The 24,178-nt window shown below is 44.2% G+C and overlaps 1 protein-coding gene across 7 annotated transcripts, besides 3 other annotated features; it reads left to right on the top strand.

Annotated features, from left to right (window-relative positions):
* Window positions 111-615: an enhancer, noted in NCBI's record as "NANOG-H3K27ac-H3K4me1 hESC enhancer chr1:28240839-28241343 (GRCh37/hg19 assembly coordinates)". NCBI's record gives its function as "activates a minimal SCP1, AML or CMV promoter by ChIP-STARR-seq in naive H9 embryonic stem cells {active_cell/tissue: H9 hESC(naive)}" and the evidence as "EXISTENCE:reporter gene assay evidence [ECO:0000049][PMID:30033119]".
* RPA2 (replication protein A2) lies at window positions 146-23,419 on the top strand. Of its 7 annotated transcripts, none has more exons than NM_001297558.1 (9): window positions 146-316; window positions 774-880; window positions 7,661-7,762; window positions 7,902-8,015; window positions 17,236-17,310; window positions 17,822-17,938; window positions 20,546-20,653; window positions 20,837-20,931; window positions 22,696-23,419. In NM_001297558.1, exons 1-9 carry the CDS (start codon window positions 283-285, stop codon window positions 22,778-22,780), a joined length of 837 nt encoding a protein of 278 aa, NP_001284487.1. In that variant the 5' UTR covers window positions 146-282; the 3' UTR covers window positions 22,781-23,419. The 7 variants fall into 7 exon arrangements, with proteins under 7 accessions (NP_001284487.1, XP_024304630.1, NP_002937.1 ...); NM_002946.5 differs by lacking the exon at window positions 146-316 and adding an exon at window positions 368-509; NM_001286076.2 differs by lacking the exon at window positions 146-316 and adding an exon at window positions 368-509 and having other exon boundaries at window positions 774-1,031.
* Window positions 192-251: an enhancer, noted in NCBI's record as "active region_579". NCBI's record gives its function as "activates an Ori minimal core promoter by ATAC-STARR-seq in GM12878 lymphoblastoid cells {active_cell/tissue: GM12878}" and the evidence as "EXISTENCE:reporter gene assay evidence [ECO:0000049][PMID:35858748]".
* Window positions 24,109-24,178: a silencer, noted in NCBI's record as "silent region_532". NCBI's record gives its function as "represses an Ori minimal core promoter by ATAC-STARR-seq in GM12878 lymphoblastoid cells {active_cell/tissue: GM12878}" and the evidence as "EXISTENCE:reporter gene assay evidence [ECO:0000049][PMID:35858748]".

Below are 24,178 nucleotides of genomic sequence, written 5' to 3'. Positions count from 1 at the left end.
ACTCCGCTACAGCCCTTTAGATGAAGGCGTCGTCTGATTGGTGATAGTTTGGCGCGAACCTGAGCACGCCGAACAAAGGAAGTGACGGCAGAAGTCGCGCACTTGACGAGGGTGGGATCACACGGCGCTGCGTCGCGGTAGTATTGTTCTGATTGGTTGATTTCTTGCGATACCGCTCTGCCAGCCCCTTGCTTCCGCTAGTGCGGAGGGTTTTGCCCTTCGTAAAGATGGCCGCGGAGGCTTTTGGAGCCAACTGGGAGCGCAGTACGCGTTTTCTGGAGCATGGGCAGAGGAGACAGGAACAAGCGTAGCATCCGTGAGCACCGATTGGCTGAAGCGAGCACCCCGGGAGCTGACTGGCTCCGCCATTCGCGGGAAGGCGTTTGTGGTGCCAGAGAAAAGTAGCCAGAGCGGCGCAGTGGCGGCCGCGTTCTGTGGTTTTCCGCTATTCCCCCAGACCCGCACCTTCTCGGCCTCTTTGCGGAGAATCGTGACCAAGATGTGGAACAGTAATGATGGGGGTGCGGGGTGGAGGAGGAAGAGAATCGCAGGAGGTTTTAGCAAGAGGGCGAGCCTAGGGTCCGAGAGGCGTGTGGTAGCGGGAGAGGAAGGGCGGGAGCGGAGCTGGGGCGTTTGGGGGTCACCCGCAGGAAGGCGGCGAGGAAGGTTAGGGAGACTCGGGCAGTGTTTGAAGGGGCGAAGCCTCCGGGAGCCTGCGGGTTTCTCGGAGGCGTGGGACGTGGCACAGGCACTAATCCTGTTGTTCAAAACAGGTGGATTCGAAAGCTATGGCAGCTCCTCATACGGGGGAGCCGGCGGCTACACGCAGTCCCCGGGGGGCTTTGGATCGCCCGCACCTTCTCAAGCCGAAAAGAAATCAGTAGGTTGAAAGGAGTATTTAGTTTTGTTTTATCCTGTCCTGAAGTCCCTGAGTCATCTATGACAGAAACTTTATGCTTTGAAGGAAGATTTCAACGTGAACTGATGCGATAATGATCTATTATTATCTGCATCTCTTATAATTAAGTGCTGTAAGTTTCAGAAATGAAATCTTGCCAAATTTTCCACCTCCTGTTTCCCTGGCTTTTCCCGTCGTTGGCCTTATTTTGAAATTGATCAGTGTAGCTAATGAATCAGTCTTGTGTGAACGCCCTCAACTTGGTTTTTAAATTTATTTTTATTTTTTAAAATAGAGATGGGGTCTCACTATGTTGCCCAGGCTGGTCTCCGACTCCTGAGCTCAAGCGATCCTCCCACCTCGGCCTCTCAAAGTGCTGGGGTAACAGGTGTGAGCCACTGCTCCTGGCCTGAACTTATATTAATAGTCTCTTTTACATTCTTTTTTTTTTTTTTTTGAGATGGAACCTCACTCTGTTGCCCAGGCTGGAGTGCAATGGCGCGATCTCGGCTCCCCGCAACCTCCGCCTCCCAGGTTCAAGCGATTCTCCTGCTTCAGCGTCCCGAGTAGCTGGGATTACAGGCATGTGCCACCACGCCCGGCTAATTTTGTGTTTTTAGTAGAGACAGGGTTTCTCCATGTTGGTCAGGCTGGTCTCCAACTCCCGAACTCAGGTAATCCACCCGCCTCAGCCTCCCAAAGTGTTGGGATTACAGGCGTGAGCCACGGAGCCCGGCCCAAAGTCGCTTTTAAATTAAATGGGATGAGGCGACATCAGGAGTGTGGTTTTTGGGCCAGCCGCGGTGGCTCACGCCCGTAATCCCAGCACTTTGGGAGGCTGAGGCGGGTGGATCACCTGAGATCAGGAGTTCCTGACCAGCCTGGCCAACATGGTGAAACCTCGTCTCTACTAAAAATACAAAAATTAGCCAGGCGTGGTGGCAGGCACCTGTAATCCCAGCTACTAGGGAGGCTGAAGCAGGGGAATCGCTTGAACTCTGGAGACAGAGATTGCAGTGAGCCAAGATGATGCCACTGCACTCCAGCCTGGGTGATAGAGCAAGAGCAGACTGTCTCAAAAAAAGAAATGTGGTCTTTGAAGTCATAGACGTGTGTTCTGCCGTTGCCGTGCTGCTTTACTTATAGGGTGTCACTGGACACATTTCTTAACTGGCTTGGGAGTCAGTTTTGCCCCTGTGAAGAGGGGCTAACATACCTTAAAATGTCATTGTGAGACTTAATATTATATACAAAGAATACAGGCTATGGAGCCAGAACATGGGGGCTCCAGAATCCATCTTGCCTTTTAACTGGCATTGTGACTTCAGGAAAGCATCTTGAAGGCTGTGGCCCTTGGTTTTTCTCATCTGATGATACTGGTAGTACTCATGTCACGGGGTGGTTCTGAGAATTGATGAGTAAGGCAATGTGTAGGAAAACAATCTATAGAAAGCTGTCTAAATGTTTAGTCACTCTGAAATGAGTTTGCCTTTTTTTTTGAGACAGGGTCTCTGCCAGGCTGGAGAGCAGTGGTGTGTGATCACAGCTCACTGCAGCTTGGACCTCCATGCCTCAAGTGATCATTCCCACCTCAGCCTCTCTAGCAGCTGGTACTACCTATGTTCACTGCGGTGTCAGGCTAATTTTTGTGTTTTTTTTTTTTTTTAGAGGTGGCATTTGGCCATGTTGGCTAGGCTGGTCTCAGGCTCCTAGCCTCAAGCAATCCACCCACCTCAGCCTCCCAAAGTGCTGAGATTACAGGTGTGAGCCACCATTCCCAGCTGAGTTTGCATTTAACAACTGCAATTTCATTTTATAAATGTGAGGTTAATTTGACTTCTCTTTAGGAATCACTCAGATATGTTAAGATTCAGTGTAAGCAAGTTAAAAAACTCAATGATATTCTGGTATATTTGGACATTGCTTTATAACTTTCTTTCTTTTTTTTTTTGAGACAGAGTCTCACTCTGTCGCCCAGGCTGGAGTGTAGTGACACAATCTGGGCTCACTGCAACCTCTGCCTCCCGGCTTCACGCCATTCTCCTGCCTCAGCCTCCCGAGTAACTGGGACTACAGGCGCCCGCCACCACACCCGGCTAGTTTTTTGTATTTTTTTAGTAGAGACAGGGTTGTACCATGTTGGCCAAGATGGTCTTGATCTCCTGACCTCGTGATCTGCCCGCCTCGGCCTCCCAAAGTGCTGGGATTACAGGTGTGAGCCACCGTGCCCGGCCGCTTTATAACTTTCATATAAATTATTTTATGTAATTCTGTAAGGAATTTATTGTTTATTCCAGCATACTAACAGAGACTCAGGTATATTAAGGGACTGCCTAAGCTTACATAGCTAGTAAGGAACTAGAATCAGACAGTACGCACATGATGCTGAACAAATCCAACATCTGATGAGCAGCAACTTCTCCCTGTTGTAGTTTTCTCTTTCCTAGAAGATCTCAAGGGACTTTAATTCTCTATTCTGATTTTCTTGAGGTTGTGAAGGAGAAAACAAGGTAGATGATTGGTTCTCATCTTTTCTTCCCAAGCTTAACTATTTTTCTCCATTCTGGTTATTATAATTTTTATCTCAGAATTCCTAAAAGCTGGGTATTAAGATAGCTTTTCAGAGAATAATGCTTGTAAGTTGGAGACTCAATCCCAGTCTCTGAATTTTTTTTTCTTTTTGTGGAGACAGGGTGTCACTATGTTGCCCAGGCTGGTCTCAAACTCTTGGGCTAAAGCAGTCCTCCCACCCTTGCCTCCCGTGGTGCTGGTATTACAGGCATGAGCCACCACACCCGGACAGTCTTTTTGTTTTTATTTTTATTTTTTTTTTGAGACAGTCTCTCTGTTGCCCAGGCCAGAGTGCAGTGGAACAATCTCAGCTCACTGCAACCTCCACCTCCTGGGTTCAAGCGATTCTCCTGCCTCAGCCTCCCGAGTAGCTGTGACTACAGGCGCATGCCACCATTCCTGGCCAATTTTTGTATTTTCAGTGGAGACGGGGTTTTGCCACGTTGGTCAGGCTGGTCTCAAACTCCTGACGTCAGGCGATCTGCTCTTCTTGGCCTCCCAAAGTGTTGGGATTACAGGTATGAGCCACTGCGCCTGGCCTTGTTTTGTTTTTAAATCTAGTATTTTCCACAGTTAAAAGTTAGGTAAACGCCCTATTCTTTTTTTCTTTTAAAATTGAGACCGTCTCACTTTCACCCCCGCTGGAGTGCAGTGGTGCAGTCATAGCTTACCACAGACTCTTAACTCCAGGGGTCAAGGGATCCTCCCATCTCAGCCTCCCAAGTAGCTAGGATTACAGGTGTGCAGCACCATCCCTGGGTGATAAAGAACTCTATCCAAAATGTTTCCTGTTGATTATGTATTTGTTCAATATGATTGAACCATGTGAAGTTTCAAATAGCGACCCAATTTTAATCTGTAATAATGGTACTTTCCTGAAGTACTGTCAGAGTAGTCTGTGGTTCATAGTCAGCTATGAAAATTTTTTTAGTTTGAAAGTGTTTTTGTTTTTGTTTTTCCAAAATTAAGCATATTTTTATTGACACTTTGTGAACCTCTTTGGAGCAGACTAGGAATTCCTTGTGATCAATTCCTACATAAAATATATGCTCAATAAAAAATAAATACTTGATTTGAGATGAATTTGAAGGCATTGTTAACATCTCAACTGTTACCTATATGTAACATTTTTACCTGAGAGGTAATAATATTTGTCAAACATCTACTACATGTAGAGATTGGTATTAGCACTTCATATATGTTATGTGTCTCATTTACAACTTAAGAGGTGTATATCCCCAGTTTTCAGAAAAGGTGGTCATGTGTCCAGGACTTTGGAGCTGGGATTTGAGCATGGGTCTACAGGACTCTCTGGCTCCAAACCTCATGTTCTTGCCACTTTACCTTACTGGTTCTTAAGTTTTCTTATGCTGAAGATACAATGAAAATCTCAGCTGTGATAGGTAAAAACAGAAATATAGTAGTTTGTGAGAGGTAAATCCTGGGACCCCTGCAAATTTTAAGACTATAAATATTAACATAGCATGTAACTTTACCTATAAAATACCATAAAGTAAAATTGAAAAAGTTGATCCTGTCAACGTTGTTATTAAAAGCTATTGCAAATGTAAAGAATGAGGAACAATAGCTAATATAATAATAGCTAAAATTTGTTATTGAGTGCTTTGTGCTGGGTAGTATTCTGAGTCCTTTACCATGTAATTTTTATAATATCATTCCTAGTTTTGCAGATGAGGAAACCGAGGTACAAATGAGTTAATACATGTGACCAAGAGCGACCGCTCTTTTTTTTTTTTCTCTTTTTGAGGAGAGTCTCTGTTGCCCAGGCTGGAGTGCAATGGTATGATCTCGGCTCACTGCAACCTCCGCCTCCCGAGTTCAAGTGATTCTCCTGCCTCAGCCTCCCCAGTAGCTGGGATTACAGGCATGCGCCACCACACCTGGCTAATTTTTTTTTTAAATTTTTAGTAGAAATGGGGTTTCGCCATGTTGGCCAGGCTTGATCTCAAACTCCTGACCTCAAATGATCTGCCCGCCTCGGCCTTGGGATTACAGGCGTTACCCACCACGCCTGGCCAAGCAGCTGCTCTTGAGAATAGAGCCACAATCTTAACCCTCAAGCTTGGCTGCTGCCTTTTGTGGCATATGTGCCAGCGGTTGACTGAGCTTGCTTTATCCTGTTGTGGCAATACTCACCATTCACAATCATGCTTCAGCAAAATGAAATATTGGCAGTGTCGTGGATGTTCAGGTCAGAGTTGCGACTGCTAAATCCATGAAGGCCAAGAGTCTACTGTGTTCTAAGTCTTCCATGTAGTACAGGTATTGGTCCACTTCCTCTTGGCTTCTGACAGGAAGAGCTCTCATCGTTTTTGTGCCTTGTACATATTCCCTCTAGGAGACTGGGAGTACATACTTGCCCTCAGCCTGTTACCTGCTACTTTTTCGCTGTTGAAATTCTCGTGCTTCAGAGTTCAGCCTAAAGCCTCCCTCTTTTGCCAGTAAGCTTTTCTGAGGTCCCACATGGCATGTTTCATTTTACAGTGTATCAAGATCAGGTTTATTGTTTACCTTTGTACCTCCCCTAGATTAGGAATATGTTGAGGGTAAATCCTGTCCCATCATATTCATCTTCATGTTACCCAGACTACCTCTTGCCACTGGTAGGCAAAAATAAGTTTACACTGTTGTCTGGCTGCTTTAAGATATGATTTGGGCCTGGCGCGGTGGCTCACGCCTATAATCCCAACACTTTGAGAGGCCGAGGTGGGCAGATTGCCTGAGGTCAGGTGTTCGAGACCAGCCTGGCTAACATGGCAAAACCCCATCTCTAGAAAAAAATAGAAAAATTAGCTGGGCATGGTGGCGTGCACCTATAATCCCAGCTACTCGGGGGGGCTGAGACAGGAGAATTGCTTGAACCCAGGAGATTGAGGTTGTAGTGAGCTGAGATCGCGCCACCACACTCCAGCCTAGGCAACAGAGTGAGACTCCATCTCAAAAAAAAAGATATAATTTGAGTGTGCTCACTAGATACTGTTCTGCCTACCCTATCCTGCCTCTTCCCCCTAAGACGTCCAACATGAGTCCAGCACAGTGGTTTATGTGTGTCATCCTAACACTGGGAGGCTAAGGTCGGAGGATCACTTGAGACCAAGAGTTTAAGACCAGCCTGGGCAACATAGCAAAACCCCATCTCTACAAAAAAAAAAATGTTTTTTTAATTGACTGGATGTGGTGGTGTGCCTGTAGTCCCAGCTACTCAGGAGACTATAGCAGGAAGATTGCTTGAGCCCATGAGTTTGAGGCTGCAGTGAGCTGTAATGCCACTGCACTCCAGCCTGAGTGACAGAACAAGACCCCATCTCAAAACAAAATTTGGCCGAGGGCAGTGGTTCACACCTGTAATCCCAGCACTTTGGGAGGCTGAGGTGGGCAGATCACCTGAGGTCAAGAGTTCCAGACCAGCCTGGCCAACATGGTGAAACCCCATCTCTACTAAAAATGCAAAATGCTGGCACATATAGTCCCAGCTACTCAGGAGGCTGAGCCAGGAGAATCGCTTGAGCCCGGGAGACGGAGGTTGCAGTGAGCTGAGATCACGCCATTGCATGCCAGCCTGGACAACAGGAGCGAAACTCTGTCTCAAAGAAAAAAAATTTAAAAAGATGTCCAACATGGCCAAGCTCTTACTCCATTTCCCCAGGAGCTCCATTTGATAGTCAAAAAATCTGTCCTACAAGAAGCTATTCTTCTACCTTTTACAGTTCATCACAAGACCTACAAGCAATTCCAAAGTCCTGTCTCCATTAGTCATTTCTCAAACCTTTTCCCAATACCATCTCATTTTGTCAGTGACCTGAACAGCAGCACCAGCCTGTCTACACCCTAAAGCTGGGGTTTCCTCTTGAAGGTCTGTTCTGGCAGCAGCAGGTCATTCTTCCTTATCCTGTCCCCCACTCTGACCTATTCATTTTGGTGAATTCTCAGAGCAACATGTGTATCTATTCAGCAGGAGCTCTGGAGTTAGACAAACCTGGGTTTGGATTCTAAAAGTGTGGTATTGGTTTGCTATATGACCTTGGTTTCCATCTCTCTGAAGCAAGGATAATGAGATTTGTTTTGAAATTCAATGTTCTAATATATTTAAAGTACTTGGCACATGGCAGGTGTTGAATGAGTGGTAGTTATTACTTTCTTAATTGAATTTTGCATGTTTTTTCTTTTCAGAGAGCCCGAGCCCAGCACATTGTGCCCTGTACTATATCTCAGCTGCTTTCTGCCACTTTGGTTGATGAAGTGTTCAGAATTGGGAATGTTGAGATTTCACAGGTATGTCAAATAATTTGTGAAAGAATCACTTACTCATAATAAAGAATGAAATAAGACTTCATTAAAAAATACAAAAATGTAGCCTTGGTTTCAGGGGGAACCAGACCTTTTTTTTTTTTCTTTGTTTCTTCTAACCTAGGTCACTATTGTGGGGATCATCAGACATGCAGAGAAGGCTCCAACCAACATTGTTTACAAAATAGATGACATGACAGCTGCACCCATGGACGTTCGCCAGTGGGTTGACACAGATGTAAGTGGCTGTTTTTGAATCATGATGGGGTTACTTTGGAACTGTGGAGATGTTGAACTTTTTTAGTCTTTTTAAAGTTTTTTCTTATAAAAATAATACAAAAAGACATCAAAGACAGATACTCTAAAGTAAAAGGTTAGTAGATTTGACTATATACCTTCCCAATATACCAAAAACAGAATTAAAAGTCAAATGACAGGAGACAGTAGAATGTTAAGTTCCATTAGAACAAAGTTTTTTTTGAGACAGAGTCTCACTCTGTCGCCCAGGCAGTGCAGTGGTGGAATCTCGGCTCACTACAACGTCCGCATCCCGGGCTCAAGCGATCCTGTGCCTCAGCCTCCCAAGTAGCTGGGATTACAGGCACCTGCCACCACGCCCGGCTAATTTTTGTATTTTTACTAGAGATGGGGTTTCACCATCTTGGTCAGGCTGGTCTTGAACTCCTGACCTTGTGATCCACCTACCTTGGCCTCCCAAAGTGCTGGGATTATTACAGGCTTGAGCCACCACACCCAGCCCCTGCTTTTTTGTTTGTTTGTTTGTTTGGTTTTTTTTTTTGAGACAGAATCTTGTGCTGTCACCCAGGCTGGAGTGCAATGGCGCAATCTCAGCTCATTGCAGCCTCTGGGCCCCAGGTTCAAGCAGTTCTCCTGCCTCAGCCTCCCAAGTAGCTGGGATTACAGGCACCCGCCACCACACCTAATTTTTTGTATTTTTAGTAGAGATGGGGTTTTGCCATGTTGGCCAGGCTAGTCTCAAACTCCTGACCTCAGGTGATCCACCCTCCTCAGCCTCTCAAAGTGATTGGATTACAGGCATGAGCCCTCACGCCCGGCCTAGAACAAAGATTTTTATCTTGGTCACCGCTGTAGCCTTAGCACCTAGAGCAGTGCTAGTCACATAGTGGTCCTGGAATAAGTATTGTTTAAATGAATGTGGAAAATATTTGCAACATATTACAAACATTTAAATTTTTAATTAATATAAAGCTCCTTTTTGGCTTGGCATGGTGGCTCACGCCTGTAATCCCAGCACTTTGGGAGGCCGAGGTGGGCGGATCACGAGGTCAGGAGATCAAGACCATCCTGGCTAACACGGTAAAACCCTGTCTCTACTAAAAATACAAAACATTAGCCGGGTGTGGTGGCAGGCGCCTGTAGTCCCAGCTCCTCGGGAGGCTGAGGCAGGAGAATGGCATGAAGCTGGGAGGCGGAGCTTGCAGTGAGCCAAGATTGCGCCTCAAAACAAAAAAAGACAAACAGTGGTGACCTAGCAGAACTCCACAGCTTAGGAGTTTACATCAAGGAAAGAATTAAAGACAGGTACAAAGATTTAGGCCAGTGAAGTGGCTCACGCCTGTAATCGCAACACTTTAGGAAGCCAAGGCAGGCAGATCACCTGAGGTCAGGAGTTCGAATCCAGCCTGGCCAACAGGTGAAACTCCGTCTCCTAAAAATACAAAAATTAGCCGGGCGTGGTTCTGCGCACCTATAATCCCAGCTACTCAGGAGGCTGAGGCAGGAGAATTGCTTGAACCTGGGAGGCAGAGGTTGCAGTGAGCCGAGATCATGCCACTGCACTCCAGCCTGGGCGACAGAGCAAGACTCTGTCTCAAAATGAATAAATAAAAATAAAGCAATCTCAAAATACTAGCAATAAAGGATTATTAAGTAAACCATGACACATTTATAACATACTACAAATGATACAGAAAAGCGTGTATTGCCACAAAGAAGTGTTTGCCATAAATTGTTGAGAAAAGCATATTACAATGTGGTATGCAGGATTTGACCCAATTTTTACAAAGCAGCATATATATAAGTGTCTTTATAAACATGGATAAAATAGACTGAAATACAGTATATACTTTTTATCCTTTTATTTTTCAATTGTGCAGAAGGCCTCTTGGTGTTTTGTATTTTGTTTTTGAAATACATTCATTACAGAAAATTTGGATAATAAAGACTGTTTTAGGCTGGGCATGGTGACTCACGCCCGTAATCCCAGCACTTTGGGAGGCCAATGCTGGCGGGTCACCTGAAGTCAGAAGTTTGAAACCAGCCTGGCCAACGTGATGAAACTCCATCTCTACTAATGATACAAAAATGAGCTGGGTGCCTGTAATCCCAGCTACCCAGAAGCTGAGACAGAAAAATTGATTGAACCTAGGAGACAGAGGTTGCAGTGAGCCAAGATTGCGCCACTGCACTCCAGCAGATTGCGCACTGCTCTGTTGCTCTGGGCAACAGAGCAAGACTGACTCAAAAAAAAAAATGCGGTTCTCCTTCAAAAACCACAAGTTATCTATAGAGAAATAACTTGGTAGTTATGTAATTTTTAAATTTTTTCCTTCTCAGAAAAATAAAGGATAATTCATTCAGCAGTTATTGTTGGAGTACCAATTCTGAACTAGACTGTGCTTGGTTCCAGGTATAAAAAGAATGAGGTAGACACAGTCCCTGCCATCAAGCAGGGAGGTAGATACTATGGATACCTAATACTACTTGTTCATATAAAATGCACTATGCTTGCTTATAAACCATTTAAAAAATCACCTGACATCTCATGTCTCTTAAAGAACTACTATTACGACACATTTTGGAAAATACCCTTTCAGACATCTGTCTCTGCATATATGTACATACAGGTGTCCACATACCTCTTTTACTGTAGAAGGGATAATATGCTATGCAACTGCTAAGTAATTTGCTCTTTTCACTCAAAATTATGTTGTGGAACTGATTTTTTTTTTTTTTTTTGAGATGGAGCTGTGCTCTTGTTGCCCAGGCTGGAGTGCAATGGCGCGATCTCCAGCTCACCACAACCTCCGCCTCCCAGGTTCAAGCAATTCTCCTGCCTCAGCCTCCAGAGTAGCTGGGATTACAGGCATGTGCCACCACACCTGGTTAATTTTGTATTTTTATTAGAGACAGGGTTTCTCTGTATTGGTCAGGGTGGTCTCGAACTCCCAACCTCAGGTGATCCACCTGCCTTGGCCTCCCAAAGTGCTGGGATTATAGGCATGAGCCATTGGCCTTTTTTTTTTTTTTTTTTTTTTTTAAATAGAGACAGGGTCTTGGCTTGCTGCCTAGGCTGGCCTCAAACCTGGGCTCAAGTGATCCTTTGGCCTTAACCTCCCAAGTAGCTGGAACTATAGGCTGATGCCACCGTGCCTGGTGAGGAGCTGATTTTTTTTTTTTTTTTTGAGACTGAGCTTCACTCGTGTTATCCGGGCTGGAGTGCATTGGTGCAATCTTGGCTCGCTGCAACCTCTGCTTCTCGGGTTCAAGCGATTCTCCTGCCTCAGCCTCTCGAGTAGTTGGGACTATAGGCGTGCACCACCACACCCAACTGATTTTTGTATTTTTAGTAGAGACGGGGTTTCAACATGTTGGCCAGGCTGGTCTCGAACTTTTGACCTCAGGTGATCCTGCCTCAGCCTCCCAAAGTGCTGGGATTACAGGCTTGAGCCACCATGGCCCAGCCAAGAACTGATTTTTTAATGTTATCTGTAAAGATTTACATCTATCATTTTAAATGACCACCGATTCCATTATAAGAATACATCATCCCTTACTTAACAGTGGACCCAGTCAGGGAACAACATTTAACTTCTTTTCAGTCGTTTGCTATTATATACAATGCTCCAGTGAGTATCTTTGCATACATTTCTTCATGATTATAAAATAATCGTAAGGCCAGGCGTCGTGGCTCACGCCTGTAATTCCAGCACTTTGGGAGGCCAAGGCAGGTGGATCACCTGATGTCAGGAGTTCAAGACCGGCACCGCCAACATGGTGAAACCCCATCTCTACTAAAAATACAAAATTAGCTGGGCGTGGTGGCACACACCTATAATACCAGCTACTCGGGAGGCTGAGTCAGGAGAATCAGTTGAAGCTGGGAGGCAGAGACTGCAGTGAGCCAAGATCGTGCCATTGCATTCAGCCTGGGCAACAAGAGCAAAACTCCATCTCAAAAAAATAAAATAATCATAAGATGTATTCCTAAAAGTAGGTTTTCTGGGGGGAAATACACATTTGACATTTTTTTAACATCTTAGTTTTTGCATTTTTGTACTGTCTTCTCTAAAGGTACCAGTTTACGCTTCAGTCATGCATGAGAGTGCCCAGTTAGTTTCCATACCCTTAACATTTTTTTTTTTAAGAAATAGGCTGGTCTCAAACTCCTGGGTTTAAGCAATCCTCCCACCTCAGCCTCCCAAAGTGCTGGGATTACAGGTGTGAGCCTCTGTGCCTATCCTCCATACCCTTTATAACAATGGGTTTTTGTCTTAAATTTTTGCCAGTGTGATAGTTGTTTTAAAAAATAGTCTTTTTGACTAGGTGCGGTGGCTCATGCCTGTAATCCCAGGACTTTGGGGAGGCCAAGATGAGTGGATCACCTGAGGTCAGGAGTTTGAGACCAGCCTGGCCAACATGGTATAACCCAGTCTCTACTAAAAATAAAAAAATTAGTCTGGCATGGTGGTGCACGCCTGTAGTCCCAGCTACTCGGGAGGCTGAGGCACAAGACTCGCTTGAACCCAGGAGGCAGAGGTTACAGTAAGCGGAGATCTTCACACCAGTGCACTCCAGCCTGGGCAACAGAGCAAGACTGTCTCAAAAAAAAAAAAAAGTATACGTAAAAATAATAAAAAAAATTAAAAAATTAGCAGGGCATGGTAGCACGTGCCTGTAGTCCCAGCTATTCGGGAGGCTGAGGCAGGAGAATTGCTTGAGCCTGGGAGATGGAGGTTGCAGTGAGTCAAGATTGCGTCACTGCCCTCTAGCCTGGGCATCAGAGCAATATTCCATCTCAGAAAAAAATAGTCTTTTCAGTGAAAATTTTGTCATTTTTTTATGTGTATTTCTTTGGTTTTAGCCATATATATGTATTTTTTTTTTTACTATGTTTAATGTCAATTTGTGGGGTTTTTGTAAATTTTCTCTTTGATTCCCCTTCCCCTAACAGTGTTTTTGTTTGCAAGAACTTGAAAATGATTATAGTGACCTCTTATAATGAGGCCAGGCACAGTGGCTCACACCTGTAACTTTAGCACTTCAGGAGACTTAGGCAGGAAGATCACTTGAGGCCAGAATTTCAAGACCAGCCTGGGCAGCATGGGAAGACCCTATCTCAAAAAGAAATAATTTTGAAAAATAAATTGTGCAGTTTTTTCTAGTTTACCTTTCGGAAGCTTCTACTAGTCCCAAAGTTTGTTTTTTTTGTTTGTTTGTTTTAGTTAAAAAATACTTTATGGTGGCTGGGCGCGGTGGCTCACGTCTATAATCCCAGCACTTTGGGAGGCCGAGGCGGGAGGGTCACCTGAGGTCAGGAGTTCAAGACCAGCCTGGCCAATGTGGTGAAGCCCTGTCTACTAAAAATACAAAAATTAGCCAGGTGTGGTTGTGGGCACCTGTAATGCCAGCTACTTGGGAGGCTGAGGCAGGAGAATCGCTTGAACCCAGGAGGTGGAGGTTGCAGTGAGCTGAGATCGCGCCATTGCACTCCAGCCTGGGCAACAGGAGCGAAACTGTCTCTCAAAAAAAGAAGAAAAAAAAAAACTTTATGGCTAACAAATTGTAATAATCAGTTATCCGAACCCTCAGCAATTCATAATGTTTTTGCTAGTGGACATTCTTGCCTCACTGTTGATGGCTGCTGACTGAGGAGGGTGGTAGTTGGCTGAAGGTTGAGCTGGCTGTGGCAATTTCTTGAAATAAGACAACAAAGTTTGCCTGAGTAACTGAGTCTCCTTTTCACATAAAATTTCTCGATATTATATCATGCTGTTTGATAGCATTTTACTTACAGTATAACTTCTTTCAAAATTGGATTCAATCTCAAACCCTGCTACTGCTTTCTCAACTAAACTTATGGAGTAGTCTAAATCCTTTATTGTCGTTTTAACAATGTTCACAGCATCTTCACTAGGAGGAGATTCCATCTCAAGAAACCAGTTTATTTGCTCATCCATGAGAAGCAACTCCTTTGAGAGGCCCAGGCGGCCAGATAGATCATTTGAGGTCAGGAGTTTGAGACCACCCTGGCCAGCATGGTGAAACCTCGTCTCTACTAAAAATAAAAAATTTAGCTGGGCATGGTGGTACATGCCTGTAATCCTGGCTACTCGGGAGGGTGAGGCAGGAGAATCACTTGAACCTGAGAGATGGAGGTTGCAGTGAGCCAAAATTGTGCCACTGCCCTCCAGCCTGGGTAACAGAGTGAGGCTCAGTCTCAAAAAAAAGGAAGCAACTCCTCATCCACTCAAGTTTTACCATAAAGTTACAGCAATTCAGTTATATCTTTAAGCTCCATTTCTAATTCCAGTTCTCCTGCTATTTCCACCACATCTGCTGTTACTTGCCCCACTGAAGGTGGAGGTAGCAGTGAGCCCAGATTGTGCCATTGCACTCCAGCCTGGGTGACAGAGCGAGACCTTATCTCAAAAAAAAAAAAAAAATCTTAAGCAGCCACCCAATATATACTTCAGATTAAAAAAGAGCTGTTGGCCAGGTGCGGTGGCTCATGCGTGTAATCTCAGCACTTTGGGAGACTGAGGCAGGTGGATCACTTGAGGCCAGGAGTTTGACACCAGCCTGGCCAATAAGGTAAAACCCCGTCTCTACTAAAAATGCAAAAACTAGCCGGGCACAGTGGTGCATGCCTGTAATCCCAGCTACTCAGGAGGCTGAGGCAGGAGAATCACTTGAACCCGGGAGGCACAGGCTGCAGTGAGCCGAGATCCCACCATTGTAATCCGTCCTGGATGATAAAACGAGACCTTATCAAAAAACCAAATAAATAAATCTCAGCTGGGTTCGGTGGCTGACGCCTGTAATCCCAACACTTTGGGAGGCGGAGGCGGGTGGATCACCTGAAGTCAGGAGTTCAAGACTAGCCTGGTCAATGTGGCAAAACCCTGTCTATTAAAAATACAAAAGCCGGGCACCGTGGCTCACGCCTGTAATCCCAGCACTTTGGGAGGCCGAGGCGGGCGGATCACGAGGTCAGGAGATCGAGACCATCCTGGTTAACAGGGTGAAACCTTGTCTCTACTAAAAATACAAAAAATTAGCCGGGCGTGGTGGCGGGCGCCTGTAGTCCCAGCTACTAGGGAGGCTGAGGCAGGAGAATGGTGTGAACCCATAAGGCGGAGCTTGCAGTGAGCTGAGATCCCACCACTGCACTCCAGCCTGGGCGACAGAGCGAGACTCTGTCTCAAAAAAAAAGAAAAAAATTGTTCATATTATTTCTATGGTTTCTTTTATTATAATTAAACCTATGATCTACATGGAATATATTTTGATAAAAGGAGTTGAGGTAGAGATCTTTTCTCAAGTGGATTCAAAATGTTGTATATGGGAATACAATTGTTTTGTTTGTGTGGTTTTTTTTTTTTTTTTTTCTTTTTTTTTTTGAGATAGAGTCCTGCTCTGTTGCCCAGCCTGGAGTGCAGTGGCACAGTCTCTCACTGCAACCTCTGCCTCCTGGGTTCAAGTGATTCTCCTGCCTCAGCCTCCCGAGTAGCTGGGACTACAGGCACCCACCACCACACCTGGCTAATCTTTGCATTTTTAGTAGAGACAGGGTTTCCCTGTTAGCCAGGCTGGTCTCGAACTCCTGACCTCGTGATCCGCCCGCCTCAGCCTCCCAAAGAGCTGGGATTACAGGCGTGAGCCACTGTGCCCACCCTTTTTTTTGTATTATTAACAGAGGCAGGGTTTCACCACGTTGGCCAGGCTGGTCTCGAACTCCTAACCTCAAGTGACTTGCTCGCCTTGGCCTCCCAAAATGCTAGGATTACAGGCATGAGTCACTGCACCTGGCCAGAGTTTTTATTTTTAAGCATATATTTTCTAGTTTTTTGTTTGTTTTTAGAGACGAGGTCTCACTATGTTGCCCAGGCTGGTTTCAAACTCCTGAGCTCGAAGGATCCTCCTGCCTTGTCCTCCTAAAGTGCTAGGATAACAGGTGTGAGTCCATATACCCCGATATATTTTCAATTTTTTTTAAAGTAATACATTTTATGTAGTCAGAAAAGAACTTTAAAAATCAGCTAATGGGCCGGACACGATGGCTCAAGCCTGTAATCCCAGCACTTTGGGAGGCCGCGACGGGTGGATCATGAGGTCAGGAGATCGAGACCATCCTGGCCAACATGGGGAAACCCCGTCTCTACTAAAGATACAAAAAAAATACAAAAAAATTAACCAGGTGTGGTGGCAGGCGCCTATAGTCCCAGCTATTTGGGAGGCTGAGGCAGGAGAATCACTTAAACTTGTGAGGCAGAGGTTGCAATGAGCCGAGATCATGCCGCTCCACTCCAGTCTGGGTGACAGAGCAAGACACTTCGTCTCAAAAAAAAAAAAAAAAATCAGCTAATGTATTTTTCTTATAAATAATGTGTGCATATTCTAGGAAACTGATAAGTATTAAAATCGTTTTTAATTATCTTAGTCAACCATTATAAACAGTTTAGTGTGTATTGTCCCAAATGGGAAATCAGCTTTTTTCCATGTATCATGACTTGTTTTTCCAGGCAGTAAATAGAATTCTATGTTATCATTTGCAACAGTGTGGAGTATCCTATTATATAGAAATGTGTACTTTATGTTGGATATTTAGGTTGTTTTAAAATTTTTAATATTCTATACTATGATAAATCTAAATCTTAATGCATGTTCTTAATTACTTCCTTAAATTCCTAAAAGTAGAATTGCTTTGCCAATAAGTATATCCACCAGAAAATTGTGTGCCTGCCGGGCGTGGTGGCGGGCGCCTGTAATCCCAGCTACTGGGGAAGTTGAGGCAGGAGAATTACTCAAACCCTCCCTTGGGAGGCGGAGGTTGCAGCGAGCCAAGATCGTGCCACTGCACTCCAGCCTGGGTGACAGAGCGAGACTCCCTCTCAAAAAAAGAAAAAAGAAAATTGTGTGCCTAAGAGCTTGAACGAGAGTGTCACAATTGTTTGCTTTTTTATGATGTGCTACAGAACTTTGGAACTGATAATTACCTTTAGAGATATTTTTATTCTAATTCCTGGTTTTACAAAATAAGTTGTAAAAGGCAGGGCAAACTACTTAATGCCATTTTAGGATCCTTTAACTCTTCTACTTCGTAACTTTCTCTTTCTATACATAATATAGAAACGTTAAAGAGGCTTTTACCAGCATCACTAAAACTTTAATGACATGTTTGTATTTTATGTTAGGACACCAGCAGTGAAAACACTGTGGTTCCTCCAGAAACATATGTGAAAGTGGCAGGCCACCTGAGATCTTTTCAGGTAAAGTCAGAATAAAATAACAGTTAAAGTGTTTTTGCATGAAGCAGTTTCTAGATTCATGTCATGGCTTTTGGATAGTTAAAATACTTAAGTCTCCCTGTTTAATGGGAAGTTATTTCTTACTCTCTTCAAAAGGAAATAACTTTTCTTTTTTTTTTTTTTAACCTTAACATGAAATTAACAGAATGGTAAAGAAAGAACAGAATCTCCTTCTACAATTGCTATCTGTGGCGTTCATTAGTTGGAGAAAGGAGAACACTAGATTCGGAGTCAGGAGTCTAGATTTTGCTTGGTTATGCAATCTTGGGAAAATTATTAATGTCCCTTAGCTATTAGTTTTAGTTTTTTTTCTCCTCATGTTTGACCATATTTGGAATACCTCTGAGAGTATATAACATTTTTCTCATATTGGTGAAATATTAATATTATAACCAAGGAAAGAGCCACAGTGTTGACCTGAAATTAATGTATGTTCATATTTTATTCACATTTTTTTCCTTCATTTTAATAGAACAAAAAGAGCCTGGTAGCCTTTAAGATCATGCCCCTGGAGGATATGAATGAGTTCACCACACATATTCTGGAAGTGATCAATGCACACATGGTACTAAGCAAAGCCAACAGCCAGGTGAGTAGTCTCGCTTTCCTAGCTTTTTCTCTTCCCTGGAAGAACACAGGCTACTTTTGTGTTCCAGCTTTGATTTCCTTGATATTTTGAAGGCCGAGCCAGAGAAAGACATCACTAAGTCCTCAGAACACTTTCTCCATTAGCTTTGTCATTGTATTTTATTCCAGATGAAACACTCATGTTTCTCTCAGAATTAGGAGTTCCTCTGACTCCACTGGCCTGGACAGCTGAGGCCTGTGACAACCCTCAGGTGTAGACATGTAATTATAGGCTCTTAGCTCTTATATAGCTCTTAGCTCCAGGATTGTCAGTGCATACTCAGAGAGTAGTCCCCTTCAGGACAGCATTTTGCTGTCTTCCTTCCAACTTACTGGCTAAGTAGGAAAAATTATGTATTATTATTTTTTCCCTGAAATTATATTTCTTGGTTCATATTGAAATTTCTCCCTAGTATTTTCCATTGTGTGAATTCACTTTGACAAGTCCATCTAGGACCATGCAAAACTAGAGTTGACTGTAGTATTAGAAAGCCCTCAGGGCAAGGTGTGGTGGTTCATGGCCTGAAATCTCAGCACTTTGGGAGGCTGGTGTGGGGGCATCACTTGAGCCCAGTTCAAGACACCACGCTGGGCAACATAGGGAGACCCTGTCTCTACAAAAAAAATTAAAGAATTAGATGGGCTACTTGGAAGGCTGAGGTTGGGAGATCACTTAAGCCCAGGAGGTCAAGGCTGCATTGAGCTGTGATCGTGCCACTCACTGCAGCCTGGGCAACAGAGCAACCTTGTCTCAAAAAAAAATAAAGAAAAAGAAAAATATTTATTGCGCCTACTTTGATTTGATAGTCCCAATCATTCTAGTCGGCATTCGAGTATAGCAGTGAACACTATATACTTACATTCTTGGGAGAAACAAGTAATAAACAAAAATATATGTATAATTTTAGGTAGTTATATAGGTGCTCTGAAGTAAATAAAACAGGAGAAGAGGCTGATGGAGGGAACAAGAATGGTACAATTTTAGATGAGGAACATTCTAAACCAGAGGGACTAGGATGTGCAAGAGCCAGGAGTGTGGAGTAAGCATGACATCTCTGAAACCAGCAAGGCCAGTGTCTGGAGTGAAGTGAATGACAGGGGAGAGGGAGAGGGTTGTAGGCAAGGAGGCAGGGCCCAGATTATATGGGGCTTTGGAGGCCATGGTAAGGATTACCTTTACTCAAATTTTTAAAATTTTGTTTATTTGGGTTTTTTGTTTTTGTTTTTGTTTTTTTTGAGACAGAGTCTCGCTCTTTCGCCCAGGCTGGAGTGCAGTGGTGCGATCTCGGCTCACTGCAAGCTCCGCCTCCCGGGTTCACGCCATTCTCCTGCCTCAGCCTCCCGAGTAGCTGGGACCACAGGCGCCCACCACCACACCCGGCTGCCACCACACCCGGCTAATTTTTTGTATTTTTAGTAGAGAAGGGGTTTCACCGTGTTAGCCAGGATGATCTCGATCTCCTGACCTCGTGATCTGCCCGTCTCAGCCTCCTTTCAAAGTGCTGGGATTACAGGCATGAGCCACCACGCTTGGCCCTTTTTTTCGAGACAGTGTCTCACTCTGTCACTCAGGCTGGAGTGCAATGGCGTGATCTCGGCTCACTGCAGCCTCCGCCTCTCGGGTTCAAGCAATTCTCCTGCCTCAGCCTCGCCAGTATCTGGGATTACAGGTACGCACCACCATACCCAGCTAATTTTTGTATTTTTAATACAGGCGGGGTTTCACCATGTTGGCATCCGGTTAGCAGTCCGGCTGGCAATGAGGATTTGTGGCCTAGGAGGCGGTCTGGGATGAGATCCTGGGGACACTGTCAGCTTTTTGGGAGACAGATAGAAGAGGCTAATGAGGGATACTGAGAAGGTTCAGTTTGAGAGGCAGATGGAGAACCAGAAGAATGTGGTGTCAAGAAGCCCAGGGAGGAATACATTTCAAGAGGAGTGTGGTCAGCAGTGTCTGCTTCCGAGAGGTCAAGTATTAGGAGGACTGAAAGAGACTTTTGGATAATTGGTTGAAAAGTCTTTGGTGACTTTGGTGAAAACAGTTTCAGAGGTGTACTGGGGGACAACCCAAATATGGTGGGCTGAGGAGTGACTGGGGAGAAAGGAAATGAAAATAGTGATTGCAGAGCATTTTAAGAATTTGGTGGTTAAAAAAAAAGAAAGAAAGAGAGGACGATAGGGACTGTGTCTCCTTTTCTCTGCCTGTGGTGCTTCATGCCTATTGACACTCAGTGAATGCTTGAATGATTGGGCTCCATGGATACCAAAATAGCAGACTCTGGGTAATTTTCTTCTTGCTGCTACTCTTCTCTGGTTCGTCTGACATCACAAACAAAAGGAGCCAAGAGTATCTTTCTCTTTTTGATATTTATGTGCTTCGGGGAGTTACTTTATCTTCCTGTGAAATACTCATTAGATAATAGCTGTCCACTCCAATGTAAGCAGTGTTATAAACTGGGAAACTGTTTATAAATTGTTTTTTGTAAGCTGCTTAACGAGCTATTTTAAGTAGTAAAGACTGTTTAACTTGATGGATTTTCTAATATTGCTAACTTATTTCTTAATTCAGCCCTCAGCAGGGAGAGCACCTATCAGCAATCCAGGAATGAGTGAAGCAGGGAACTTTGGTGGGAATAGCTTCATGCCAGCAAATGGCCTCACTGTGGCCCAAAACCAGGTAACCTCCACCAGAGTGGCTTCAGAAATACAAAACACAGATAGTCTTAAATTTTGTTACTTCCTTAATGAGCTACGACTGTTTAAGTACCTGGTTCATTTCTTTTCTATAAAGGGACTCAGGTTTGCAAAGGGGAGGCTGATCCAAAATAATTGCTAAAATCTTTCTGATTTGAATCTTCAGGTGTTGAATTTGATTAAGGCTTGTCCAAGACCTGAAGGGTTGAACTTTCAGGATCTCAAGAACCAGCTGAAACACATGTCTGTATCCTCAATCAAGTAAGTATTTGATTTTCATGAGCTCAGGCTCTGGCATTGTACCTATTTCACCTCACAAGGGTTTCCTGATAGTGAGAAGTGGGTTTAAAAAGTAAAACTTGGCAGCCGGGCATGGTGGCTCACGCCTGTAATCTCAGCACTTTGGGAGGCCGAGGCAGGTGGATCACCTGAGGTCAGGAGTTCGAGACCAGCCTGGCAAACATGGTGAAAACCCCGTTTCTACTAAAAATACAAAAATTAGCCGGGCATGGTGGCACGCAACTGTAATCCCGGCCACTCCGGAGGCTAAGGCAAGAGAATCGCATGAATCCAGGAGGCGGAGGTTGCAGTGAGCCACCATCACACCACTGCACTCCAGCCTGGGTGACAGAGCGAGATTCCATCTCAAAAAAAAGTAAAAGTTCGCCAGGCATTAGCTCATGCCTGTAGTCCTAGCACTTTGGGAGGCTGAGGTGGGCAGATTGCTTGAACTCAGGAGTTCAAGACCAGCCTGGGCAACGTGGCGAAACGCTTGTCTCTACAAAAACAATAAAAACAAATTAGCCGGGCACAGTGGCGCATGTCTGTAGTCCCAGCTACCCAGGAGGCTGAGGTGGGAGGATCGCTTGAGCCCAGAAAGTCAAGGCTGCAGTGAGCCATCATTGTGCCACTGCACTCCATCCTGGATGACAGAGTGAGACTGTCACACACACAAAAAAAACTTAACTGCAACCCTGTTGGCAGAATGGAAATCGTTCAGCTATGGAAAAATAGGAAAAAGACTATGGGCCAAAATGGTGCTACCCATCACATCACTCATTCAGCAAGCACTAAGGACCACTATATGTGAGGGATATATAATAATTCTGAGCAAAAAGTTGACCTGATTTCATTATGGGATTTAGACTGGAGGAAGGAAGTCCTTAGCTCCTGGTCGTCAGGTGTACAGTCCTGTTGCTGTTACTGTCCCCATTGTGGACATGAGTGTATTAGGCTATCTGTACCTTATTAAACAATCAGTCCTTCCAACACCCTTGTCCTGATTCCATCTTAGACAAGCAGCCTCCTGATTCCAGTGTAGTAAACCAATCAAACAAACTGACTTATGGTGCTTGTGATAGTTATTTGTTACTATAAATCAATTGACCTGCCAGGCCTAGATAGATAAGAAATGCTCAGGGCTGATTCCATTTCCTGTCCTGTAAAATTAGGATAATAATTCCTATCTCAGAGTTGCGTGCTGATGAGGTAGAGAACTGCTGTTACTTAGGTGCTCTGTAGATTGTGGCTATTAAATACGTTACTGACACTAACCCTGAGGACCTTGAAGGGTTTGAAGGTTTCAGAGTGTTTCCTTTGCTTCCCACAACTTTACTTCCCTGAGAGGGACCAACGGGGTTTCAGTGTGTGGCTGGAAAAGGGGGACTTTTAAAGACAGTGGTTTCTACTAGGAGATTTTGTGTGCAAGTGTGACTACAGCTTTAGATCCTTGTTTTCCTGCTTAGACTGTATTTAAGTGAGGCCCTGTTGTCTTTCCTTTGCACAATTTGGGAGAGGGATCCAAGACAGCCCTAATAGCCATTGTCTCCATGAATAAGCTCTGTTTTGCTATTTTACTGGCATTTCTCCCTGTGAGAGCTTTCTATGTGCAGAATACTTGTGAATTCTTAGCTAAGGTAGAAAGTTGGGAGATAAGCGAAGTTTGCATATTTGGCCATATCCAAAAGGCAGTTTCCTTCTGAATTGGCCTGAAAATGACCTTTTTTTTTTCTTCTTTCTTTCTAGGCAAGCTGTGGATTTTCTGAGCAATGAGGGGCACATCTATTCTACTGTGGATGATGACCATTTTAAATCCACAGATGCAGAATAACTGGATCTAACTGGGTACCTGAGATATTTTACAGCTGGACCTAGTTTCACAATCTGTTGTCTCCAGCTCTGCATATGTCTGGCCAGGGGGCTTCTAGGAAGTAGGTTTCATCTATCAAATGTCTCCTCTGACTTCCTTTTGAAACTTACTGCTCTTCTGTTTTATTTTGTTTTGTTTGAAGCTCAGAGGGAGATGGGCAATTGACAGGGATGCAATCCAGGGTGGGATTTCTTGAGGAAGTTACAAATAAGCTTGTTACAACATCAAGATAGATGGAATTGGAAGGATGCTACCAGGAGAGTACTTACATAGTGCTCAGGAGTTTCTCTTCTTAAAATGTTTACTGCTGAAAGATGAGCAGGACCAGGGCGTTATAGGCAGAGCCCTAGCCGAGAAACCTGCTGGCCTCTGCCTGTTTTCATTTCCCACTTTGGTTGTGTGGCATTACTTTCAGAATTGCACTTTCCTGCTTGTCATGACTTTTTGACACACTTGCCATGACGTGTGTTTCTGTGAACATGAAGTTCTGCGGTAGTGCCTCCAGGGGCAGAGGAAAAGAAGAAGTGTTACTGCATTTTGTACAAAATAAATACAGTCATATGTTTAATAAAACAGTTCTATTGTAGTAACTTGTAAAAATTCTCGTTTTTCTTTCTGAGCAGTGTAATGACCACTTTATCATCTGAGGCAGTGTAACATAGTGAAACTTGGATTTGAATTCTGGCTTTCCCACTTTTTAGTTAGAATCTTGAGCAGGCTATGTCAGCTCTGAGAACCTCCATTTCCTCATTTACAAAAAGAAAACGTTATTTCCCCTGGGTTTGTTGTGAAGATTGAAAAAAACATAGTCTGTAAAGCGTCTAAATCTAGTATTGCCATTTAAAGGGATTATATAATGGACTTTAATGTTGACTCTTTGGCAGTGTGTGATCATGTAACTGAATCAAATAGCTACCCATTTGGCCTCAAGATGAGACTTTCCAAAAGCCTATGGTCATTTTTTGGCCAACTTGATTGGCTGTTTCTTACAGAAAAAGAAACTAGTTCAATGATGTTTTTGACAACTCCTGAAAGTAATCTACATCTTGAATAAAAGAACCAATTTTGAGATAAAGTTAGTGAGACGTAACATCCCAATAAGAATTCTCTGGCCGGGCGCGGTGGCTCACGCCTGTAATCCCAGCTCTTTGGGAGGCCGAGGCAGGCAGATCACAAGGTCAGGAGATCGAGATCATCCTGGCTAATTCGGTGAAACTCCATCTCTGCTAAAAATACAAAAAATTAGCCAGGCAAGGTGGTGGGCGCCTGTAGTCCCAGCTACTCAGGAGGCTGAGGCAGGAGAATGGTGTGAACCCGGGAGGCAGAGCTTGCAGTGAGCCGAGATTGCACAACTGCATT

The sequence above is a fragment of the Homo sapiens genome, chromosome 1 (genome assembly GCF_000001405.40).
Source record: "Homo sapiens chromosome 1, GRCh38.p14 Primary Assembly".
In the NCBI taxonomy this organism is placed as follows: domain Eukaryota; kingdom Metazoa; phylum Chordata; class Mammalia; order Primates; family Hominidae; genus Homo; species Homo sapiens.
Note: the sequence above shows the minus strand (reverse complement) of the source record. Positions and strands in the feature narration are given on the sequence as shown.